Here is a 23,062-nt window from a genome sequence, read left to right on the forward strand (position 1 = left end):
TTCTAATCCATCCAGAATTAACTTAAATGCAGGATTGCACATTTGTTCCTAATAAATTTCAAGTTGTTTATTACAGCATATTGCTTTGATATGTTGTAGGATTTTATATCATAAATCTGTTACATATATATTCATGCTATATATCAGTGGTTCTCAATCAGAGGTGATTTTGCCCTCTAGGAACATTTGGCAATGTCTGCAGACATTTTTTATTTTCCAGGACTAGGGGAGAGGCTGGCTACTGGCTTTTAGTGAGCAGAGAGCAAGGATGATACTAACCATCCTACAATGTACAGGACTGCCCCCACAACAAAGAATTGTCAATTGTACTGAGATTAAGGGACCTTAAGAGATGATAGATGGATGGATGCATAGTTGATAGATCAATAGATAAATGTATAGAAGATAGATATTCATTGAATACCATTTTTCTGCCAGTTACATACCAATAGTAATATTTTCCAGCCTATATTTTTATTCTTTACCTATATTCTATTCTTTACCCTGAAGGGCATTTTAAGAGACATTGACTCCTACTTTATGGAAATCCAGATACATTGAATTGTTGGATATCCCTGGTTTGAGCACATAATAAATATTGAATGAGCGTTTTATAAAAATGACAACAATAAATCAAATAAATTTTAATGAACCTTATTTCACTACAGTAACTTATTTTTATATGTTAAAAAGTATGCTTTTTAAAATCCATTGCGGAGTTTTGCTAGGAATCAATTTTAAGCAGTATGTTTCTTCTTTAGTCTTCTGCCACATCTGTTATTCTCTTGCTATGCAGCATAAATTTCATCAGAATATTAACTCTGTTCTCTATATTATTTTTATTTAGTTTTATTACCACTGTCAAGCTTGCAGATTTCCTTGTACACACACATCTCTTTAATATGTAGAGTTGCTTATTCTTACCATCTATGAGAATCATTACTTTTGCATAAAGACTATATCCATTTTTAGTTACATTCTGGGAGTTAATATTGGTATCCATGGAATTATATGTGTCTTCTGTGTCAAAAATTTCTATTCACTCTAATAACTTATCCTGAACATATTTTGTATTGGTATTAACACTTTATTGTTTCTGATCCCCTTATTAGAAAGATATTTTCTTCTGTGTATTTGTGAGCCTTTTAATTCTTATTTTGCTTCCTGTCATATTTGACATCCTCTACAACAGCAATGTCCAATGGATGGAATTTATCGTGATGATGGAAATGTTCTGATCTGCACAGTCTAATATAGTAGGCATGGTTGAGCACTTGAAATGTAGCTAGGGCAACTGAACTGAGGAACTGAATTTTACATTTAATTTAATTTAGTTTTAATTTTAGTAGCCACATGTGGCTAGTGGCTGCTGTATCGGACAGCACAATTCTATAGAGTAATTCCTTACCCTTCCATTTTTAGCTTAAAATCCTCAGCTTTATTTTAACTTAAACCTATTTTTACTGGTTGTGTTTGTATGCAGTTTTGTTTGTTTTGTATATTGTATGCGTTTCTTATGTCCCAGTGATTACGTTATTTTTTACTTCATTTCCTATGCTTTCCATACAGTAATAATACATATCCTTAGGCAATTGAGAGTGTGCAAAGGTATTTCTGTAATGTATTATCTATTAATATCAGGTGCTTGCTTTTCTTTACTTTTTTGCAAATAAAATGATAATGTTCATTGTAGGAAAAATGAAGGAAGAAAAACAGAAAATATAAAGAAGAGAATAAGGCAAAGATTATTACTACTACTAACTTCACAGACACACACAGACATACGCAGAGGGATACACTTGGTTGAGTACTTTCTATACATATTCTTTTATTTTTAAACACCTTACTGATTGTACAGCTAATACGTATTTATCACTAGAAAAAAAATTTAAAAACAGGAGTAAAGTGAAGGAAAAAAATCATCTGTAATCACAATGCATAGATTAACCACTTTTATTACTTTGATTTGTTTTCTCACAGTGTTGTTTCTAAGACCTGTGGGTAGATGGTGTGCAGGTAGGTAGGTAGACAGCTGGATATGTAGAAAGGCATTTTCAAAAATTGTATTATACTATATGCAGGGTGGGACAATAGAAGTATACACTTTTCAGGTGGCAAGAAAACAAAATTATATGTCACTATGAGTATGTATCATCCACAGTGGTATTAGTGACCATTCTGAACATTTGTAACTTTAATAGAAATATATATTGGTTAACATTTATCCACTGGGTTTGTCTATTTATTAACTGTATCTTGCTTTTTATATCATGAACATTTTTCTCTAGTATAAAATAAAATTCACAAATGTGATTTTAATGGCTACGTCATAATCCATTCGTTGTCTCTATATCATTAACTAGTTTCCTATTATTGGACAGTTAGGATGCTTCTCTTTTTTTACTACTATAAATAGCATTACACTCTACATTTAGTGCCTAAAATTTTTCATCTCTGATTTTTTCATTTCTGATTATTTTATCTCTGATTATTTCATTAGTATACATTTTTAGAAGTGAAATCACTGGCCCAAATGAAATGAATGGATATGAGATCCTTGGTATATATTGTCAATCCAAATCACCTTCCAGAAAGTTCTTTGTTGCTTATAGAAGAAAATATTCTTGTTCCATTTTTATGGTTTAATCATTTTTATGCAGCTATTTTTTTTTTTTTTTTTTGAGATGGAGTTTTGCTCTCTTACCCAGGCTGGAGTGCAATGGCATGATCTTGGCTCACTGCAACCTCCGCCTCCCAGGTTCAAGCAATTCTTCTGCCTCAGCCTCCTGAGTAGCTGGGACTACAGGCGCGTGCCACCATGCCTGGCTAATTTTTTTTGTATTTTTAGTAGGGACAGGTTTCACCGTGTTGGTCAGGCTGGTCTCGAAATCCTGACCTCAACTGATCCACCGGCCTCGGCCTCCCAAAGTGCTAGGATTACAGGTGTGAACCACTGCACCTGGCTGCAGCTTTTCTTCGAACTTTTAAACTTCTGTTTGGTTTTACGACTCAGGATTGTTTTTTAATAAACGTGCCTTTCAAGGGTTTAGCAAAGTAATCATATTGTTATAAATACCCAACCAACATAACTTTATTTTTTGCTAGCAAAGGTTTTCAGATATAAGATTTTTCATTGTATAAATTGTTTCTTTTTAGGGTGAACAAGGAGAAAAAGGAGATCCAGCTCTGGCTGGCCTTAATGGAGAAAATGTAAGCCTAACTCTTTTTTCTGATACTCTGTTTACATTTTACCACTAAGATATGCTATTTAATGCTATTAAGATTTGCCTATTTTTGGCAGAGCCAGCCAGCCATGATCCAACAAAATTAAGAATCATGGTGTTCTTTCACATGGCTCAGTAGAGGCCCAGTGTTTTTAGTTTCATTTCATTGGCTTTATGTATTTTCTACCTGTGCTTAGCCTTAACAGGCCTTTCTCCTTGACGTTTCTTGCTTGCAAATTTTCTAGTCTTTTTTTTCTGTCTTTTTTCATCTTACATATCTTCTGCCATGGCTTGTGCTCTTATCAGTGGTTCACTTTTCATCTCAGTCCAAATCTCCATCTAGTCTATAGATGGCGTCTGTATTGGTAGGCTTTCAGTGATGGGAAGAAAGGGCGAAGTGAAGGGAAACTAACTCCGTATTGCTCCCCTCCATGGCACCAGTTCCACAGCCTCAGGGATAACATTGCCTGTGATATCCTAGGACCCCAGTCATCTTCTCCCCTTCCCCTCAGGATGGTTATCCTCCCAGAATTGCACTCCAGATTTTAGGATAAAATTTGAAGGATGGCCCAAATGTGGGTTTCACTCTGAAATGTAATTTTATTTACATTTACTCACCATTTACTATAGATTTGTTATCTTTACTGGTAGGGGAAGTGTCCAAAATGAGAATTAGTTTTTCCCTCGGCTTCCTTTTCTCACTTACATAAATATGTTTTGGAAAGGACCTGAAGGGCCACATGACTTATAAAAGAATAAGGAAAAACTGTGAGACTATATCTAGCTCCCTAATGCCCTAGATGTGTTCAGAAACCCATTTTGTATGCAGGAGATCATTACAGCGGAAGAGAGGCTGAAGACCAATCTTTCCGGCCTGTGGAGAAAGTCGTGTGTGTGTGTGTGTGTGTGTGTGTGTGTGTGGGTGTGTGGGTGTGTGTGTGTGGAGTCTCCCAAAAAAGAAAGACCCTAGTAGTAATAGTAGTTAATGTTTCTATGTATGTTAACTAAAATAATAGTTGTTTCACCATCATTCTTATTTCTCTCCCTTTGAAGTGATTTTTCTACACCAGAGAATAGGCACTAGCCCCAGTGGCTTGTAGCTATGGGAGTCTCTGCATCTTCTTTACCACCTGTAATACATCAGGACACTGAATGTCACACATGTTTAAATAGAGTAACTGACTCACCTCTTACTCCTGTCATTGGAGGCACGTGGTGAAGTGGGATGAGTTCTGGAGTAGAAAGCCAGGGTCCAGTTTGTCTTCCAGTTCTGTCACAGAAGAGCAGATCACTTCTCAGAGTCTGTAAAAGTGATGGACTTGGGATAGATTCTTTTTTTTTTTTTTTTGAGACGGAGTCTTGCTCTTTCCCCCAGGCTGGAGTGCAGTGGCAGTGGCATGATCTCGGCTCACTGCAACCTCCGCCTCCTGGGTTCACGCCATTCTCCTGCCTCAGCCTTCCGAGTAGCTGGGACTACAGGTGCCCGCCACTAGGCCTAGCTAATTTTTTGTATTTTTAGTAGAGACGGGGTTTCACCGTGTTAGCCAGGATGGTCTCGATCTCCTGACCTCGTGATCCGCCCGCGTCGGCCTCCCAAAGTGCTGGGATTACAGGCGTGAGCCACCGTGCCCGGCAGACTTGGGATAGATTCTAAAGCCCCTATCGCTATTATGTGCTATGATTTTATGCAAAGAGTTATTAAGATTATAAACTTGAAAAGTCTGACGAGGCCTGAAGCATTCATTCAGGTTCATTGAGTGCCTGCTACATGTAAGGCACAGTGAGAAAAACAAAACAGGAAGAGATGAAGCCAGAGCATAGGAAGTCCTGGATGTGAGGATGCTTGTCCTTCCTCCTCAGGACAAAGGGGAGATGTGGCCCACACTTTGTTTAAATGAAAATTCCTTTTACAGTGGATTCTGAAATGGATAGAATTTGGGCCTTTGCCTGTGTTTTCTGTTCTTTCTATTACACTCTCCGTGAAAGCAAAGACCATGTGTTGGAATCCTAGTACTTAGCACATGTTTGGGGTAAGTTCCAAATAACTATTTGCTGAATGTTAGTTTGAAAAACTGAGCGGTTATTAATATTATGACAGAGTAAAATATAAGTAATTAGAGTCTAAGCTAGAATAACAGATGTGGAAGGGAAGATACAGAGAATGATGCTAAAGAGGTAAAATACATATGATTTGGCACTTGATTGGAGTTGAAAACTCAAAAATAGCCCAACATGTTGACCGTTCTGTGTGAGAAGGATACTAACTTGTGAGAAATGTAGGAGTGTTCAAACAGATTAATTACAGTGTTCCAAAAAATAACCAAACTACAAGTATGTGGGCTCTCTGAGATAGAGGAGCAAAACAGAGTGTATTACAAGTGCATAAAAGTAATATTGGAATTGAAATAGAAAGAGGAGTTTTTGAAATATTTGAATAAAACTAGAAAGATATTTGAGAGGTTGGAACCTGAAATATATTCACATTAATTTCAAGATTTGAAAATTTTTCTTACATTGTCTGAAAGTAAGGTTTTTGGGCTTTTTAATTAATCAACTGATACATGCATATATTTGAGGGCCTACTATATTCCCAAACTCTCTGTCAGCCACTGTGTGAGTTCCAAATCTGAGTAACACTAACTTACTGAGAGATCCCAAAGGCCTAGTGAGCAGTGTGAATGTCTATCCCTTTGAGGAATCTTGAAAGAGTCCTTCACATGCCCCAATAACAGGAGGTCATTCCTTTAGCACCGTTATTGTCTGATGTAGCTCATTAAGTACAACCATAAAGCATGACAAAGCACATTAACTTTTCTCACTTGGTTACTTAGTTAATAAGTAGATGATGTTATTTTTTCCCCTTAATTTTGCCAAAGATATTCAGGAGTTATGACTAAGGAGAAATAACAAAAAGTAGTAAGAGTTCTCCTCTTTCCCCTCTATCACTAGTAGTAAAGAATCAGCTGCTTGGTTATTACACTGTTGGAGATGGGGGGAGTGTTAATATTGTGTTATAGTTCATAAACTATTTTCACAAGGAATTTGAAATTTGACCCTCACCCAGCTTAATTGGCTAGTAGAGTGGGGAATGATAGTATTCGTATTTTCAGAAGCAAGAAATTAAAGGCTTCAGAAATTAAGCAACTTTCTTTTTTAAAATACTAAAATTGGCCTTTAACTCTAAATATTTGGCTGAAAAGTCTGATCTTCCCAGTAAATCCTGCCACACATCATTGCTTATTTTTCAGTGCTAAAAAAACTGAGTCTGCAAACTAAAGTAATTCAGCGTTTATGACAGTTCACTCTGACTTTCAATAAGCCCAGGTATACATTCTTAGGAATTGAAAGGTATTATAATGGCTATTTTGATTTGAATTAAAGTCAAGCCAATGATGGAAATCATAACTTCAGAAATATTGTCTTAGAATGTATGGTAAATAAACTCAGTGAGCCAGGTGACTCCAGCTACTTTCTAAGTCAGAGTATATTGGAATGCTTTAATATTTCTACTAAATGAATTCCACAGCCTTTTTAATAGTCTTTATTGCTGTGTATTATATATGTATCTTAGTGTCAATGTATCTTATAATAACTTATTTTGTGCCAGCTTTCTCACAAAATGGGCCAGCTCACTTTGGAAAGTGTAAACTTTAATTTAAAGGGTAGTATGTAGCAATTCAGTCTTTCTCAATGTGGCACTCTTGGCATTTTGGCAAGACAGTTCTTTTTCAAGTCAGACTGTCTTGCAAGAGCAGAATGTTTAGCATCCTTGAAGCTCACCAACCTAATCTAAATGCCAGTAGCAGCCCCTAGTCATTGGGACAAGAAAAAATGTGCTGATATTTTTCTAAGTGTATCTTAACTGTGTGTGTGTGTGTGTGTGTGTTTGTATGTGTGTGCATGCCTAAACTTTTGTTTGATGTCTGTGGTATTACTAAACAAATGCATGCTCATATGTCCATTCTAGTTTAAATAATGCATACAAAACATATATTAAAATTTTCAAAAATTTGAATTGCTAGAAAATTTAACCTTGAAAATATATGACCTTGTCTTTACACACAATCTAGTGTATAATTAAATAATTTTGATTGTGGCCTAATACAAGATATATTTAACAAAGGTATCTTAGAATAGACTTGAGAGAGAATAATATAAAGTTGTAATTGTGATCTTTAAAGCCAGACTATCTGGGTTCACATCCCAGCTCTGCCACTAACTAGCTGATGTACTACTTGGTAAATTACTTAGCCTCTCTGTGCCTCAGTTTCTTTATTTGCACCATGGAATGATAATTTCAATATCCTCTCTGTGCCTCAGTTTCCTTATTTGCACCACGGAATGATAATTTCAATAGTACTTACTGTAGGGGAAAAGATAATTTTCCCTTCCCCTCTGAGGGGTTCAGTCAGCTGAAATGAACTGACAATGGACAGATTAACAGGAGAAAAGGCATACAAATATATTAACGTGCATACAGTGGGAGCCATAAAAAATACGAGACTCAAAGAAAGGCCAGATGGTTGAAGCTTAAATAGAACCCTCTTTATAGGAAAGAAGGAGATGGGGAAATGTAGGCAATTTTGAGAGGTAGTAAACTCTTTTTTGAATTGAATGGGACCAAGAGCTAACAATAGCTTGTGGACAAGTTACAGAAAGGTGAAGGCTGGACCTCCACTGTGAACAAAAGTTGTCTTGTTTTGCAGATAAAGACTCCCAGATAATCTCTCAGAGCTGCCCTCAGAAGAATAGACCAAGAGTCTGTCTGGGCATCGTGACAACTTTTAGTTTATTCTCTTCTCCAGAGATTAATTTTCCTGGTTATTCTGTTAGATTCCTAGGAAGGGGGTTTTAAGACAATTGCTTTTTTTGGAAGAAGATTTCTCAGTCTGATAAAGAAACTTCCAGAGAGAGCTCCTCCCTGTACTTGAGGAGGGGTTGGAGGAAAAACAAGAGAAGGTTAGAAAGTTCTTGGATCTGAGGCAGCTTCTAAGGCTTTTCAATTCCTTTTAATTCAAAAGTACTCAGCATGCCAAAGCACCACACTTTGGGGTTATCACTCTCTGTACCCCAAAATTACCTCATGGATTTTTTTGTGAAGATTAAAGGGACTATCATACAGAAAGCCTTTAGAACAGTGTCCAACATAGGGCAAGAACTATATAAACATTCACTATTATTAGAAACCAAGTTAAATAAAACACATTTAGCTCTAATAGGTACATGTTTTTATTTATTTGTTTCTGTGGGGTTATACAATCTTAGAAAAGTAGACTTAATTGTTGAGTTGTCTCTTTTTCTGAATCTATATTATGGTCTTTTAAGTATCCCTTATTAGAATTACAGCATCTGATGTTTCTAAAATAATCATGTTAATCTCCTTATACCAATGCAATCTGTACTAGAGGATACAAAAATATTGAAATCACAAAACCAGAGATAACAGCTGGCAACAGCTGTTGACATTGCTAGGGAATAACATTAAGTCATTGAAAGCTTGTGAAAAGAATTAATTGATGGGTTAAAAATTTTTAACAAATAATATTTTTATATTATCTTCTGAATTTTAAAGATATGATATCCCATGAGTAGTACTAGGTACTCCAACAAAAATTGATTTTATAGTCTACCCGCTTTTATAATTCTAGTTATAATACTGCTCTTCAGCTTTTGTCTTGCCTTTAGATAACGGTTTCTGCCTCCACATTACATGTAGAATCAACTACTGTGCTTTTGGGAATCTTTATGTACATGAATTTGATTGAAAACCTTCATAACAGATACCGATCTTACTCAATATTTAATTCAGAGTCTATTCCATTTGGCTCTTTATGCCTATGGTGAGTGCTGTGTCCTTTCTCCCTAGCACTCAATAACCATTGATAGGAGCACCAGTGTGACACAAGGAGAAAAACCGCATTTGAGAAAAGCATTACTGATGTGTTTCTCAGAGGCTATTACAATGCCATGGCCTTAACAACATTGTACTTTGTCACAGGAAGACGTGAGTTACATGGGCCTACTTTAATGGTCATAAAAGTAGAAGCTTGACAAATGCAGTACTTCTCAATTGCATTTTATCCTATGTGAGTTAAAGCACAGTTGTTACATATCCATCAAACTGGTATAAAGCTGAACAAGAAAGAACTATCAGTTATCCCTTAAACTTGAACTTGAAAAGTAAAAACAACATTTATTAAGTGCCTACCGTATGCTAAATGTCTCTACAACATATGATTCTCAGAACAACCCTTCAAGAAAACTATTACTTATTATACCTATTTTATAGGAAAGCTTACCCAACTTACCCATGATTATACATAAAAGGCCATTCGTCTTCTGACTCTGCTGAAATCCACATCTGTGAAGTCTTGGACACCCCAGTAGAATTAGGCATCTGTGGGAAATGCTTTTGTCATACCTGCTATATACTTCAATGATAATACTCAATATTCACATCAGCTTGTAATTGGCTACATCATCCCTTCCCCTCCTCCCTGCCCATAGTTGACTGAACCAGGGAGAGTTACCTGATTCAACTGCCAATACATTGCTTCCCTAGAAATTACAACTGGGATTAATTTGTTGGAATTAATCTTTAAAACTTTTAATGTATTATTTTATACCTACAAAATAATATATATAACATATATGATGGTTATAAATCATAGTTATAATGAGGACCCCAGTGTACCCAGAACTCAATGTGAGAACTAAGACGTCATCCTCCACTTGGAATCTCCCTGTGTGGTTCACTATATACTGTCCTCCACTCCAGAGTTAACCATTTTTCTAAATGCTGTACCTAATGTTTCCTTCCATGCTTAAAAATTATGTTTCACACTTACACATTTATAAGGAGTATATAATTTAGTCTTACATGTTTGCAGACGTTCAATAATATTTGTTGAGTAAATGGATACTCAAGGTTTTTATCAGTCATTTCTTTTTTTGTGTTTGTCTTTTCTCTGCATAGTTTTACACAAGCAAAAAGAGAAAACCTTTTTTTAATAAATTTCTCTGCTCAGTGAATGGGATAACTTCCTAGCCAGTTACTTAAGTCAAATGCAACTCAGCCTGGAGACTTTCCTTCTTCTTCTCCACTTCTGGCATATCTGCCAGTCTTGCTTCCAGCATGTGCCAACTCTGACCACTTCTCATCATCTCCACTGGCACAAGCCTGTCCCAGCCATCCTGCTCTCTTTCCTGGAAAAGCTGTCATAGCCCCTTTTATGCTCCCACTCTTGCTGCCCATAATTTGTGTTCCACGTTGCTGCCAAAGTGGTTTGTGGGGATTTTTGTAAACATATTCACATCATGTCATTTTCCTGCTTAAAACACTTAAGTGGCTTCCCATTGCATGTAGAACAAAACCCATCTTCCTCATCATGGCCTGCAATTACTTATGTACCATGACCCCTGGCAAACCTTGACTTAACCCCCTACTCCTTACCTGTGTGCTCATGACACTCCTTTTATCTTAGTGACCTCTGTGCTTCTTTTTCCCTCTGCCCCCACACAGATCATTGCGTGGCTGGATCCTTTTTTTTTTAATTTGAGCAAATTCATGAGGTACATGAGAATTTTTTTACACATGTATAATACATAGTGATCAAATCAGGATGTTTAGGTTGTCCATTTTCCAAGTGCAATACATTTTTTAAAAGTATGCTTATCCTACTCTGCTATCAAACATTGAATTTATTCCTTCTACCTTACTGTATGCTTGTATCTTTTTATCCACTTCTTTTCATCCTCCCTTGCCCCCTCACTCACCCTTTCCAGTCTTTGTTATCTATTTTTACACTTTCTACCTCCATGTGTTCAAATTTTTTTTGCTCCCACATGTAAGAAAGAACATGGAATATTTGTCTTTTTGTGCCTGGCTTACTTCACTTAATATAATGACTTTCAGTTCCATCCATGTTGCTGCAAATGACAGGATTTTGTTTTCTTATGGCTTAATAGTACTCCGTTGTGTATATATAACACCTTTTCTTTATCCATTCATCTGTTGATGGACACAGAATGATTCCATATCTTTGCTAGGATCCTTCTGAAACAACAAATGTCACCACCACACAAGGACCATTTCTGACACCCCCCTTGAAGTAGCAACTCTCTCCTCTTTCACTTTTATCACATTCAGCCTGTTGACCTGTTTATTGTCAGCCACTCACCTCTTATTACATGAGTTCCTTGAGGACGGGAACCTTCACCTAGTTAAAGAAAAAAATCGTTGACACTTGTTTTTAAAAAGCGATAAGGAAGACATTTTATTCCAGACTATTGCAATAGGGGAATTGCAATAAGGGAGACAGATCAGGTTCAACTCTAACTACAACAAGGACAGGTGGGGATTTATAGCCAATGAGTAGAGGGAGGGATGTCACTGGATAGAAAATTACTAAGAGGAGACATCAAGGGTAGGGTGATTCTTACCAAACTGATCTAAGAAGATTCTTGCTGAAGACAGGCCAAAGACTTAGACATCAAGTTAGAGGATGAAGAACTTGATCTTCTCAAAAGTAAGGAATGGAGAAGAGATTTTAAGGGTGAGAGATTCTCTCTAAACATACTTAGCAAGATTCTTGCTATAACTGAGCTGGGAAGACCAAAGACAGGATGGGGGCCATGGTCCAGGTCTAGCTGAGAAGAGGGCTCAGAGAACCATGACTAAAAGTTTGGTGATGGAGAGAATCTTCATTAATTTCTTGTTCTTTTCTGTATCTCTAAAGTCGTACTAATCAATAGAAATATAATAAGAGCTACAAATTCAAGATGAAGGCAAATATATTATTTTTTTCTAGTAACCAAATTAAGCAAAATAAAAGGGAACAGGAGAAAATACTTTTAATAATATGTTTTATTTAATGCAATATATCCAACTGTTATCATTTAAGCATATAATAATTTAAAAATTATTAGTGAGATATTTTACATTTTTTTCTTATACTAAATATTGTAAATCTAACAGTGTTTTATATTCATAATACACCTCAATTCAGAGTAGTCACATTTCAAGAGTTCGAAAGCTACATGTGGCTGTGGCTACCAGTACAGGTCTAAAGGCCAGAAGCAACTTCACACAAGGTATATAATAAATGTTTATTGAATAAATAAGTGAAAGAACAAATGAATTAATAATAAATCTATTCACAGAAATGGCAAATTTCTTCCTTCAAGTGTTTACAATATTCTGTTTCCAAGTTCTACTCTGGAAACATGTATAAATAGAGTATGCGTTCCTTGATTTGGGAAGAAATGGATATTGTAAATAATAAGACAATACTGTATCACATCTCAAATATCATTTAATTTTTCACTCATCCTTTTTCTATAAATATTCCAAGGTAATGATGGAAAAAATAATAACTATGAGTTTTATACGTGAAGGCATTTATGCAACTAGAAGTTTTTTTTGCCAATTAGGTATTGTTTTCATCCATTAAAAATGTTTTTCTTAAAGTATAATACTACAATTTTCACACACTGTCTGCAACAGGATTATTTTAAGTATCTAATTTTCTTTTGTTTCTTTCACTTCATCACTGGTGTCTATGTTGAGTACAGGTGATGGCATTTGGCATTATTTATTCACTACAAAATGTCAGGGCAGTAATAGCCGGGTCTTTCAGCTAGGAACAGTAAGACACTTAGACTTGCTGTGCATTGTGTGGCTTCAGAATACTTCTTTCTTCTATTATTGTTCTTCCTTCATCCAGTGTGTTAAACTAAGGAAAAAAGAAGTTTTTTTTTTCTATTTACCACGTAGTCAGGATGTGTCTATCTAACTTTCTACGTACACTGTGAATTCATGCAGCTGTAGAGCTGATCTCCTCTGGTACAATCTATTGTGGAAGTCTCAAAAGCTGTCATTGCTTAGTCAGATCAACTAAATACCCATTAAAACATCCAACAGTCCAGAGGACTTATGAAAATATTTATCTGTTATTCTGTATATGTCATATATAGTTTCATTTGACATCTTTATAAATCCAAGTAAAAAGGAATTAGAGAACTAAAATATACTTTAAAACAGGCAAGAGATTACATTTTAGCTCCAGTTGTATGATAGCAAAAGAATACATCTTTCATTCCTTTTCCCCTCACAATTAGATTTCTTGATAGAGACATAAAAATGTTTTTGATTTTACTCTTGAATTTTTTTGGCAAGCTTAACAAAGGCCAAATCAATGCTAAATCAGAGGTATTTACAACATCCACAAATTTAATCCAAAGTGGATACTTAAAAGCTCATATAGATCTAAATGATATTCTCCCAGATGGTGAATTAATGTAATTTTAGCAGGAAGCAAAGTTGCACAAATATGCAGTATTGAGGACTCGCGCTGATTTAATGTATCTGTGCCCACCACGGCACAGATGTTGCTTATCATTTTAGTGCCAGTTGTCTCTATTTCTCTCTATACTACAAAAGGAAGAATGAGATTTGGAGGTTCAGTAAATTATGATTTATTTTGTTACTAATGACTTGTTAGAAATTAAAGCTTTCTGTGAACTGTGTATTGGTTATATTCTTTCTACAGGGTTTGAAAGGTGACTTGGGTCCTCATGGTCCACCTGGCCCAAAAGGAGAAAAGGTATTGTGTTTACCCAGCCAAGCCCAACCTTTCTTTAAGAAAACTCTGACAACCTATGCAGTGACTTCTCATTGATACTGTTTATCTCCTAAAAGCATTCTAAAATTAACCAAAAGCTGTTACCTTAATAGCATCTGAATAAGAACAGCCTTTTTGTTCATTTAATTAGTTTGAAAAGACTAAATGCACAATTGCTAGTTGACATTAGCTGGTATTTATAAGATTTCCCTTTTCTCACCCTTGCTTAACAGCATGAGGTATTCAATCATCAAATTAGCAAGTGTGACCTGTATTGGAAAACTTTGCCAATAACACTGAGCTGCTGCCATAATGGTGAGGCAAGTGGCTTTTGGAAAGAAGCTAGTTTTGTATCTCAGTCTTAATTTAACTATTCCATTTTCTGCCACTTTTTCTCATAAAATAAGTTATTTCATAATGACATGTTGGCAATGATCTTGAAAAGGAAATTAAGAAATAGGAAAAAGCAAGGGTTGTTTTGAATAAAGTAGTTGGGTGATCCCAGTTTGATGAAAATTGTATGTATATGTGTTTTGCAATGCATTTTGTTCTCCATTTTTAGCACATTTAGAAATCCTTGTCTATCTTCAATATTTATCTCTGTGTTAAAGGTGATCCTGCAAATGAGTTCCCAGTGACTGATTTAAGCCACTTCAGTGTTCCCTTAGCAACTGTTGGCTATTTTAATTCAATTGTTCCAAAAAACAATGAATACACAATGCTAAGTTTTAACTTCTGAGGTGGCTATATTGGTTGAGAAAAGAGAAAGTCCTAAAGATACTCATTGTGAGACTACAGCATCCTGGTACCCCACGCTATACAGTACAGGGCTTCCATAATGTGCAGCTAAATAAGAACCGTGGAAAGGATGCGTGGTCTTTAATGTTTGAGAGTTCTTAAGAAATAAATAAAGTTCCTGGGAAAGTAAACATGAAGGTGACATAGAAATTGGAAAATAGTGAACTTTTAGATGAACCATTTTTTAAAGATGTTGAATAGTTTGTTGATATATCCACCTGGAAATTTGTATTCACATAGATCAGCAAAGCAATTTTAGCGTTCAGAAATACATAAATATAGGCAAAGCCTCTTACAGTTGATGGCAAATGCAATGCCAATTCAGCAGAGCTTTAGAAGAGGCCATGGGACTGCTTCTTGCAGCTGGGAAGCATGAAATGGGGAGATCCACTTATTATTTCTGCTGATCTTCATACTAACTTTGTCAGACAAATTATCTATCGCCGTGACACTTCCCAGCTGCTTCATTGGCAAGTAAACATACTTGAAAATATATTATTTCTAATTTTGGATTAGTAGACAAAAGAATAGAAAATTAGATTATTTTCGCTTTCAAAACAAGTCCTGCTGTTGCAAAAAGCATAGAGTATACAAGGTGATTTTTATATCATGAAAGCTAAAAGGGACATGATATATTTTCTTTATGCAGAGACTTTTATCAGGATGAAGTTCTATTTTTCTATTCTTCAAGATTTATCTCTATATATTGCTTCTATCCACCTAGAAATTTATAAATAATGTGCAAAAAGGGACTAGTGGTAATTGTAGCTTTTCTTTAATCTATTTTAGGGAGATACAGGACCCCCAGGACCACCAGCCTTACCTGTAAGTATTCTTGAAATCAAAATTCAAAATTGAAATCCATTATTCTGTTTATTATCCATATTACATCATGACTAAACCAGAATTTAAGTCACAGAGTTAAGAATTGAAGGTGACTTCGAGTACATGTAGTCAAACCTCCACATTTTAAAGATGGGGCATCTGCCCACAACAGTGAAATATCTGACCCAAGGTCATACAGGTAGTTACAATTAAAGTCTGGAATCAGTACCTACCCTGAGCAATTTCCTCTATCCTCCATATGGCTCATAATTTTGTCTCCTAAATGTTTGATTATGCACTCTTAACATCAGGTTTAATGTAAATGGAATCAGATACAGTCCTACTTGCTTTAAAAACTGTAAAAGGACAAAACAAACTCTAATCACCCAGTGAATAAAAACAGCTACCTATTTAAACTGGTAATTACATTCTCCCAACACTTTCCAAAATCATTGTTATTTTCCTCTATGATTTGATTCTAAAATTTGCAGATGATAAAATTGCAATATTTTAGTGACAGATTTATGAGAAAAGTTTATAGTGTGCACATAATGAGATTGTTCTCAATCAAATGGTACATCATGTATTAAGCACTTTATAATAAATATATGATTCTCTTATATTCAGATACAATTTACTATTACAGACTTTTTTCATAGGTGATTAAAGATTCTTATTTAACTTAAATAAGACTCTAAGCCTAATGGAAAAGAGGACAGTTTTGTTTTGTTTTTTTTAAAAAAGATCTTCTATAGCCTGAAGTCTTTTGAATTTTATGTTGATGTTACCTAGTGAGATAAATTAAGCATTTAAATCAGTAGTATTCGAAGACCTATTCTGATTATAGAAGGTCAGATTTTTAAAAGTATTCTAGTAATCTGAATGGAGCCCTTCCCATAGGTAGAACATAGGAATCTCAAAAACTGTGTGATTTTGATAATATTTATATTTATCTTTGTACTTAAAAATCCCATTATGAAAAATACATTAATAATGTCTTACACAAATAATTGTTACAACTCCCACATAAACAAATGTTTTTTGATATGTGGAAAACCTAAGGAACTAAATAGATAACTTACTTGGGGATAACTCATTCAATTTGCAGTGGAAGTTTATGCTTTAAGCTTTTATTTTAAGCATGAAAAGAAAGACTATTTTTTTGAGAGGAGGTTTTAAGTGCATATTATTCAGTTTTTTATACTTTGTAGAATTTTATTTTATTTTATTTTTTGAGACAGAGTCTTGCTCTGTCACCCAGGCTGGAGTACAGTGGCACGATCTCGGCTCACTGCAACCTCCGCCTCCCGGGTTCAAGCGATTCTCCTGCCTCAGCCTCCTGAGTAGCTGGGACTACAGGCACCTGCCACCATGCCCGGCTAATTTTTGTATGTTTAGTAGAGACAGGTTTTCACCATATTGATCAGGCTGGTCTGGAACTCCTGACCTCAGGTGATCCGCCCACTTCGGCCTCCCAAAGTGCTGGGATTACAGGCTTGAGCCACTGTGCCCAGCCTTACACTTTGTAGAATTAAAAAAAAAAAATTATTTAGCAGTGATTTAGTTAAACCTGCTCTTTTTACTTAGGACAGATGCCTGTTTCTCTTTAACTAAGTTACATGCAGTCATTTAGTTAAACCTGCTCATTTTATGTAAGACACATGCCTGTTTTTCTTCAACTAAGTTATATATTCAACTACTCAGTTATCTGATTTCATTGTCATTTTCAACTCATGTTGGAAGACTGATATGCAATCTACATATATTATTTCGCCTGAAATACAATTTTGGCTTCTCAATCAGAAAATTGTATTGGATTACATATATTTTGTGGATGTTTAATAGCAGCTAGCTTCTTTCTGCCAAGGAACACCTTGAAGATACCTCTCTGCACCAATTCATCTGTCAAGCACTTAGAGATTACAAGCTAATTTCATACTTGTCTAAAAATACGACAAGGAAAAAACACTATGAAATGAAATGTTTTATTTCATAAAGTAAAATATTCATATTATTGGGGTATTACTATTTTGTATGCTTGACATTACTTTCTTTATTAATATAAATTATCAACTCTTCCCTACAAAATAGGGATAAACTAAAATGAATACCAACTTACAATACACTAAATATTTAATTGATCTTATAATACAGGTTGGTACATTATTAGTTGAAATAATTTATAATAGTCTTTGAGGAAGCCCAAATGACTAACTGCGTTATATTTGGATTAAATGAGGCAGTGATATATTGGAGTCAATAAACAGAGTTCATCCATAATTGTTCTCAAAACTAGCTCCACGCTAAAATCTACTGAAGAGTTAAAAAACTTAACCAATATTGGGGCTCCACCCCCAGAAATTCCAATTCAATCAACCTGATGTGGGACCAGTATATTTTAAAAGCTCCCCGAGTGGATCTAAATATGCAGCAAGAGTTGAGAACCATTATTTATGGGAACTAGAATGGAAAAAGCTTTCTTCCTACTCAAAAAAATTATATCAGATTGTTGAAGAAGTCCAACTTCCATTTGAAATCCAACTTAATACATAGCGATAAAGAACTATCTCTTTCCGTTAGGGAGGCATACTAGTAAAATGAAGTTAAGATTGAACCCTGCTTCATTAAATGGAGAGAATTAGGGCTAGGAAGATACCTTTAATTACAACCTTCATCTAAATGTCCATGTACTCCTGTGGCTTGGGTGCCTTTCATGCTTCTTAAAATTTAATGTATGTAGGAACACTCAGGGTCTTGTTCAAATGCATATTTTTATTCCTAAGTCTGAGGTGAGATCTGAGCTTCTACATTTCTAGCAAGCCCCAAGGGAGTCAGATACTACTGGTTGTTGCACTACACTGGTCACAAAGGCTTAGCACCCTCTTCCCAGTTAGCTGCCTTTTCCCATAGATCAATGGTTCTCTGTCGCATCCTGGCCAACATGGTGAAACCCTGTCTCTACTAAAAATTAGCTGGGCATGGTGGTGTGTGCCTGTAGTCTCAGCTACTTGGGAGGCTGAGTCAGGGGAATTGCTCGAACCCGGGAGGCGGTTGCAGTGAGCCGAGATCGCGCCACTGCACTCCAGCCCAGCTGGAGACAGAGCAAGACTCCGTCTGAAAAAAAAAAAAAGATTAATGGTTCTCTATCTTGACTGCACATTGGAATTACCCAAGGTGCTTTAAAAATTCTAATTCCCAGACTGTACCACATACCAATAAAGCCAGAATCTCCAGGGAGGGACTCAGGCAACAGTTGTTTGAGATTTTTCCCAAGCAGTTCTAATGTGCAGGCACGCTCGAGAACTAAGGCTCTGAAAGCATGTCTAATACTTTTCTTTACAGCTTTCTCTTACAGATCTTGAGCAAACATTTTGGAATTACTCATTACACTAGTATTTATATCAAAAACACCCAACCTGATTACTTTCAGGAGCTTCCAGGAGAGGCCAGCCTTCCTAGTCATACCTACAATTTGCTTCCTGATTACTTCATTATAGAGGATAGATGAACGTCCATCTCCACATTTACAAGCTACTAGCAAGTCCAACAGTAATCCTTCTTGAGAAGGACAACAAGCATTGACAACTTCAGGACACAGAATTCCAGAAATTCTCAAAGCACACACAGCTGAACTGCCCAGAATAACTAAGGGCGAAGAGCTGAACACTTTTTCCCCCTCTAAGCCATACATTCTATATTTGCTTTACTTTTATTCATATTTTGTTTAATAAGAAATTAAGAGAAATAGTAATTGAGCACACTGTAATACTGAGTTTACTGATGCAGGGGCAATCCTTTATGATGTTTTTGGGGAAGTATTGTTTTTTTTTTTTTTTCTTTTGAGACAGGGTCTCACTCTGTTGCCCAGGCTGAAGTGCAGTAGCCCCATCACAGCTCACTGCAGCCTTGACCTCATGGGCTTACGTGATCCACCCACTTCAGCCTCCCAAGTAGCAGGGACTACAGACGGTTGGCACTATGCCCAGCTAATTTTTTTTTTTTTTTTAACAAAGACAAAGTCTTGCTATGTTGCCTAGGCTGGTCTTAAACTCCTGAGCTCAAGTGATCCTCCTCCCTTGGCCTCCCAAAGTGTTGGAATTATAGGCAGGAACCACTGAGTCCAGCTGGGATTATGTTTATTGCTGTTATTTTTGTGTCCCTGTGGATTCTTGTGCTTTTGGTACTTAAATTTTTTTTAATCACATAGAACCAGTTCATCAAAAAAAATCTGATATGTAAAACCATCTATTTCATTAAATGTTACTTTTGTTGCTTATTTATACTTTCTTTTATAACTCGTTGAGTCTGTATATAATTGGGTCTCAGTGGAAGAGAGAGAATAAAGAAGTGAGGGTGACCAAGTTTAAAAAGGAGTAGGAAAGGTAAAATTGAGGAAATGGCGTGAAACACAGACTGGAGTCCTAGAAACAGTTTGATTTGCTAGGTTCAGCTACAATAGCTTTTACCCTTTATTTCACCTCTCCCTTCCTATCACCTGAAAGTATTCTTACTGCCAGTGACCAGTGCTTCCTCACTCTCTAATATATAAGAAACCTATTAATAAGAAAGCCAACCAAAATGGTGCTGCAGTTTCAAATGCAGTTTGCAATATACCCCTTTATTATTTCAGGAAATGGGACCCCATTCAAAATTCCACAGTTGAATCCCTTTGATAACGTTTGAATCCTTCTATAGATTCATGTTCACGGGTCATATGGAAAATACTCCAATGTGACTGCCTTGGAGAAAAGAAAAGGAAAAAAAATAATAAGAGAAATCTGAGGCCTGTAAAAATGTCATGGAGATTAAAGTGATATTTATGGCATTAATTGTCACTTACATCCTTTAACCTTTAAATATTCTGTCAATCTACTTGACTTGATAAAAATAGAATTATACTTTTTGATATGACGTTAATAAACTTGCAAATCTTATTTTGTAGACTTTCCAGATTATTCTAACAATAAAAGATATTGAAATTCAAGAACAAATTTGTGAATCTGTAAGTGGAACATCTGGAAACTATTTTGTAAAACAGTGTCCAAGAGGCTTCCCTTAATACTTTTTTTAAACAAAATTTCATATAGAGATACGGAAAAAAAGAAATGAAACACTTTCAGCCCAGAAGGTGGGAATGTGGTTGAATTACACACACAAAAAAGAAAGACTAAAAATCCATGGTTGCCACCATAAACCCACCTTCATGTATCTCTTGCTAGGAATATTTTCAGCAAATACAGCTAGTTGAAAATAAAAAATTTAATGAAATATCTGATTTCTTTTCAGCCACTTTTTGGAAGATACCAAATTCACTAATTAGTTTGGTACTAACAACTATTTTGTTAACACAATAAGCCATTATAGAAACTTATAATAATTTTAAAGTTCTAAAGAAATAAATATGAGATTCTTCAACTTGATTTAAATTAATTAACTGATTATTCCACCCTTATCCTTTTTATATTTCAAACTGATAACCATTTTAAAAATAGCACATCTTGTTAGATTTTAAGTAATAATAATATAAATAATAAATGGTAGACATTTATTCAGTGCTATGTATTGTTTAAACCAAACCTTAAACAACCCTGTGAGGTATAAAATGATTATTACTACATCGTACATAAGGGAACTGAGGATGGGAATATCTAAGTAAATTGTCCAAGGTTCACAGATGTTACATAACAGAGCTAATATTCAACTGCCCATTTGGCTGACTCTTAAAACCTAAGCTATTAAATTCTGCAAGCATTATTTAAATCTAGTTTAAAAAATTATAAAAAAAACAGAAATGTTCTAAACTATTGCAAAAATTAAAATTTTTAAATCAGGTCAGGCATGGTGGCTCATACCTCTAATCCCAGCACTTTGGGAGGCCAAGGCAGGCAGATCACTTGAGGTGAGGAGTTTGAGACCAGCCTGGTCAACATGGCAAAACCTCATCTCTACTACAAATAAAAAAATAAAAGTAAAAAAAAAATAGCCGGATTTGGTGATGGATGCCTGTAATCCCAGCTACTCAGGGAGGCTAAGTGGGAGAATTGCCTAAACCCAGGAGGAGGTTGCAGTGAGCTGAGATTGCACCGCTGCACTCCAGCCTAGGTGACATAGCAAGACTCTGTCTCAAATAAAATAAAATAAAATAAAATTTTATCTTGAAGCCAAAATTCAGAAAAATTCAAGTGCCTAGCAGAGATGGGGTGGAAATGTAAATGTGCGATGCAGCCCAGTGTAAGATAATAGAGTGTGCTTGGGGTTAGGGACCAGGATAGCTATGTTTATCTCAAAGTATCAAATTCGAATTAAAAACTACTTAGAGATTGCCTAATGCAGAATATAGGCATACTTTGGAGATATTACAGGTTCGGTTCCGTACCACTGCAATAAAGCAAGTCACCAATTTTTTTTGCTTTTCCAATGTATATAAAAGTTATGTTTATATTATACCATGTCCTATAAAATGTGCAATTTATATTATGCAAAAACAATTTTACACATTTTAATTAAAAAATACTTTATTGCTAAAAAATGCTAATGATCATCTGAGCCTTCAGTGAGTTGTAATCTTTTTGCTGTGGAGGGTCTTGCCTCCATATTGATGGCTGCTATCTGATCAGGGTGGTGGTTATTGAAGGTTGGGGTGGCTGTGGTAATTTCCTAAAATAAGACAAAAATGAAGTTTGCCACCTTAATTGACTTTTCCTTTCATGAAAGATTTCTCTGTAGCATGTGATGCTGTTTAGTAGCATTTTACCCACAGAACTTCTTTTGAAATTGGAGTCAATCCTCTCAAATGCTGCTGTTACTTTATCAACTAAATATATATAATATTTCAAATCTTCCTTGTCATTTCAACAATGTTTGCAGCATTTTCACCAGGAGTAGATTTCATCTCAGAAAAACATTTTCTTTGTTCACCCATAAGAAGCAACTCCTCACTTATTCAAGCTTACCATGAGAGTGCAGCAATTCAGCCACATCTTCAGGCTTCACTTCTAATTCTAGTTCTCTTGCTATTTCTACCACATCTGCAGTTACTTCCTCCAATTACATCTTAAACCCCTCAGAGTCATCCGTGGGGTTTGGAATCAACCTCTTCCAAATTCCTGTTAATGTTGAGATTTTGACCTCCTCTGTGAATCACAAATGCCTTTAATGGCATGTAGAATGTTGTTTTTCAATTTATTTTGCCCAGGTTCATCAGAGGAAGCACTATCTATGCAGCTATAGCCTTACAAAATGTATTTCTTCTTCTTTTTTTTTTTTTTTTGAGAAGGAGTCTCGCTCTGTCGCCCAGACTGGAGTGAAGTGGCGCGATCTCGGCTCACTGCAAGCTCCGCCTCTCGGGTTCACGCCATTCTCCTGCCTCAGCCTCTGGAGTAGCTGGGACTACAGGCGCCCACCACTATGCCTGGCTAATTTTTTTGTACTTTTAGTAGAGACAGGGTTTCACCATGTTAGCCAGGATGGTCTCGATCTCCTGACCTCGTGATCTGCCCGTCTCGGCCTCCCAAAGTGCTGGGATTACAGGCGTGAGCCACCGCGCCCGGCCACAAAATGTATTTCTTAAATAATAAGTCTTGAAAGTCAAAA

The 23,062-nt window shown here is 35.8% G+C and overlaps 1 protein-coding gene across 8 annotated transcripts in view; it reads left to right on the forward strand.

Annotated features, from left to right (window-relative positions):
• The window catches only part of COL19A1 (collagen type XIX alpha 1 chain), a 345,913-nt gene that overhangs the window by 153,915 nt on the left and 168,936 nt on the right, over window positions 1-23,062 (forward strand). For 5 of the 8 annotated variants that reach the window (NM_001858.6, XM_011535437.3, XM_017010253.2 and 2 more), the window contains 3 exons: window positions 3,157-3,210; window positions 13,775-13,828; window positions 15,434-15,469. In NM_001858.6, the coding sequence (NP_001849.2) occupies window positions 3,157-3,210; window positions 13,775-13,828; window positions 15,434-15,469 (144 nt within the window). The remainder of the gene's footprint in view (window positions 1-3,156; window positions 3,211-13,774; window positions 13,829-15,433; window positions 15,470-23,062) is intronic. The other 3 variants (XM_047418188.1, XM_017010254.2, XM_047418187.1) reach the window with 1 other exon arrangement.

Source organism: Homo sapiens, chromosome 6 (assembly GCF_000001405.40).
Source record: "Homo sapiens chromosome 6, GRCh38.p14 Primary Assembly".
Lineage (NCBI taxonomy): Eukaryota > Metazoa > Chordata > Mammalia > Primates > Hominidae > Homo > Homo sapiens.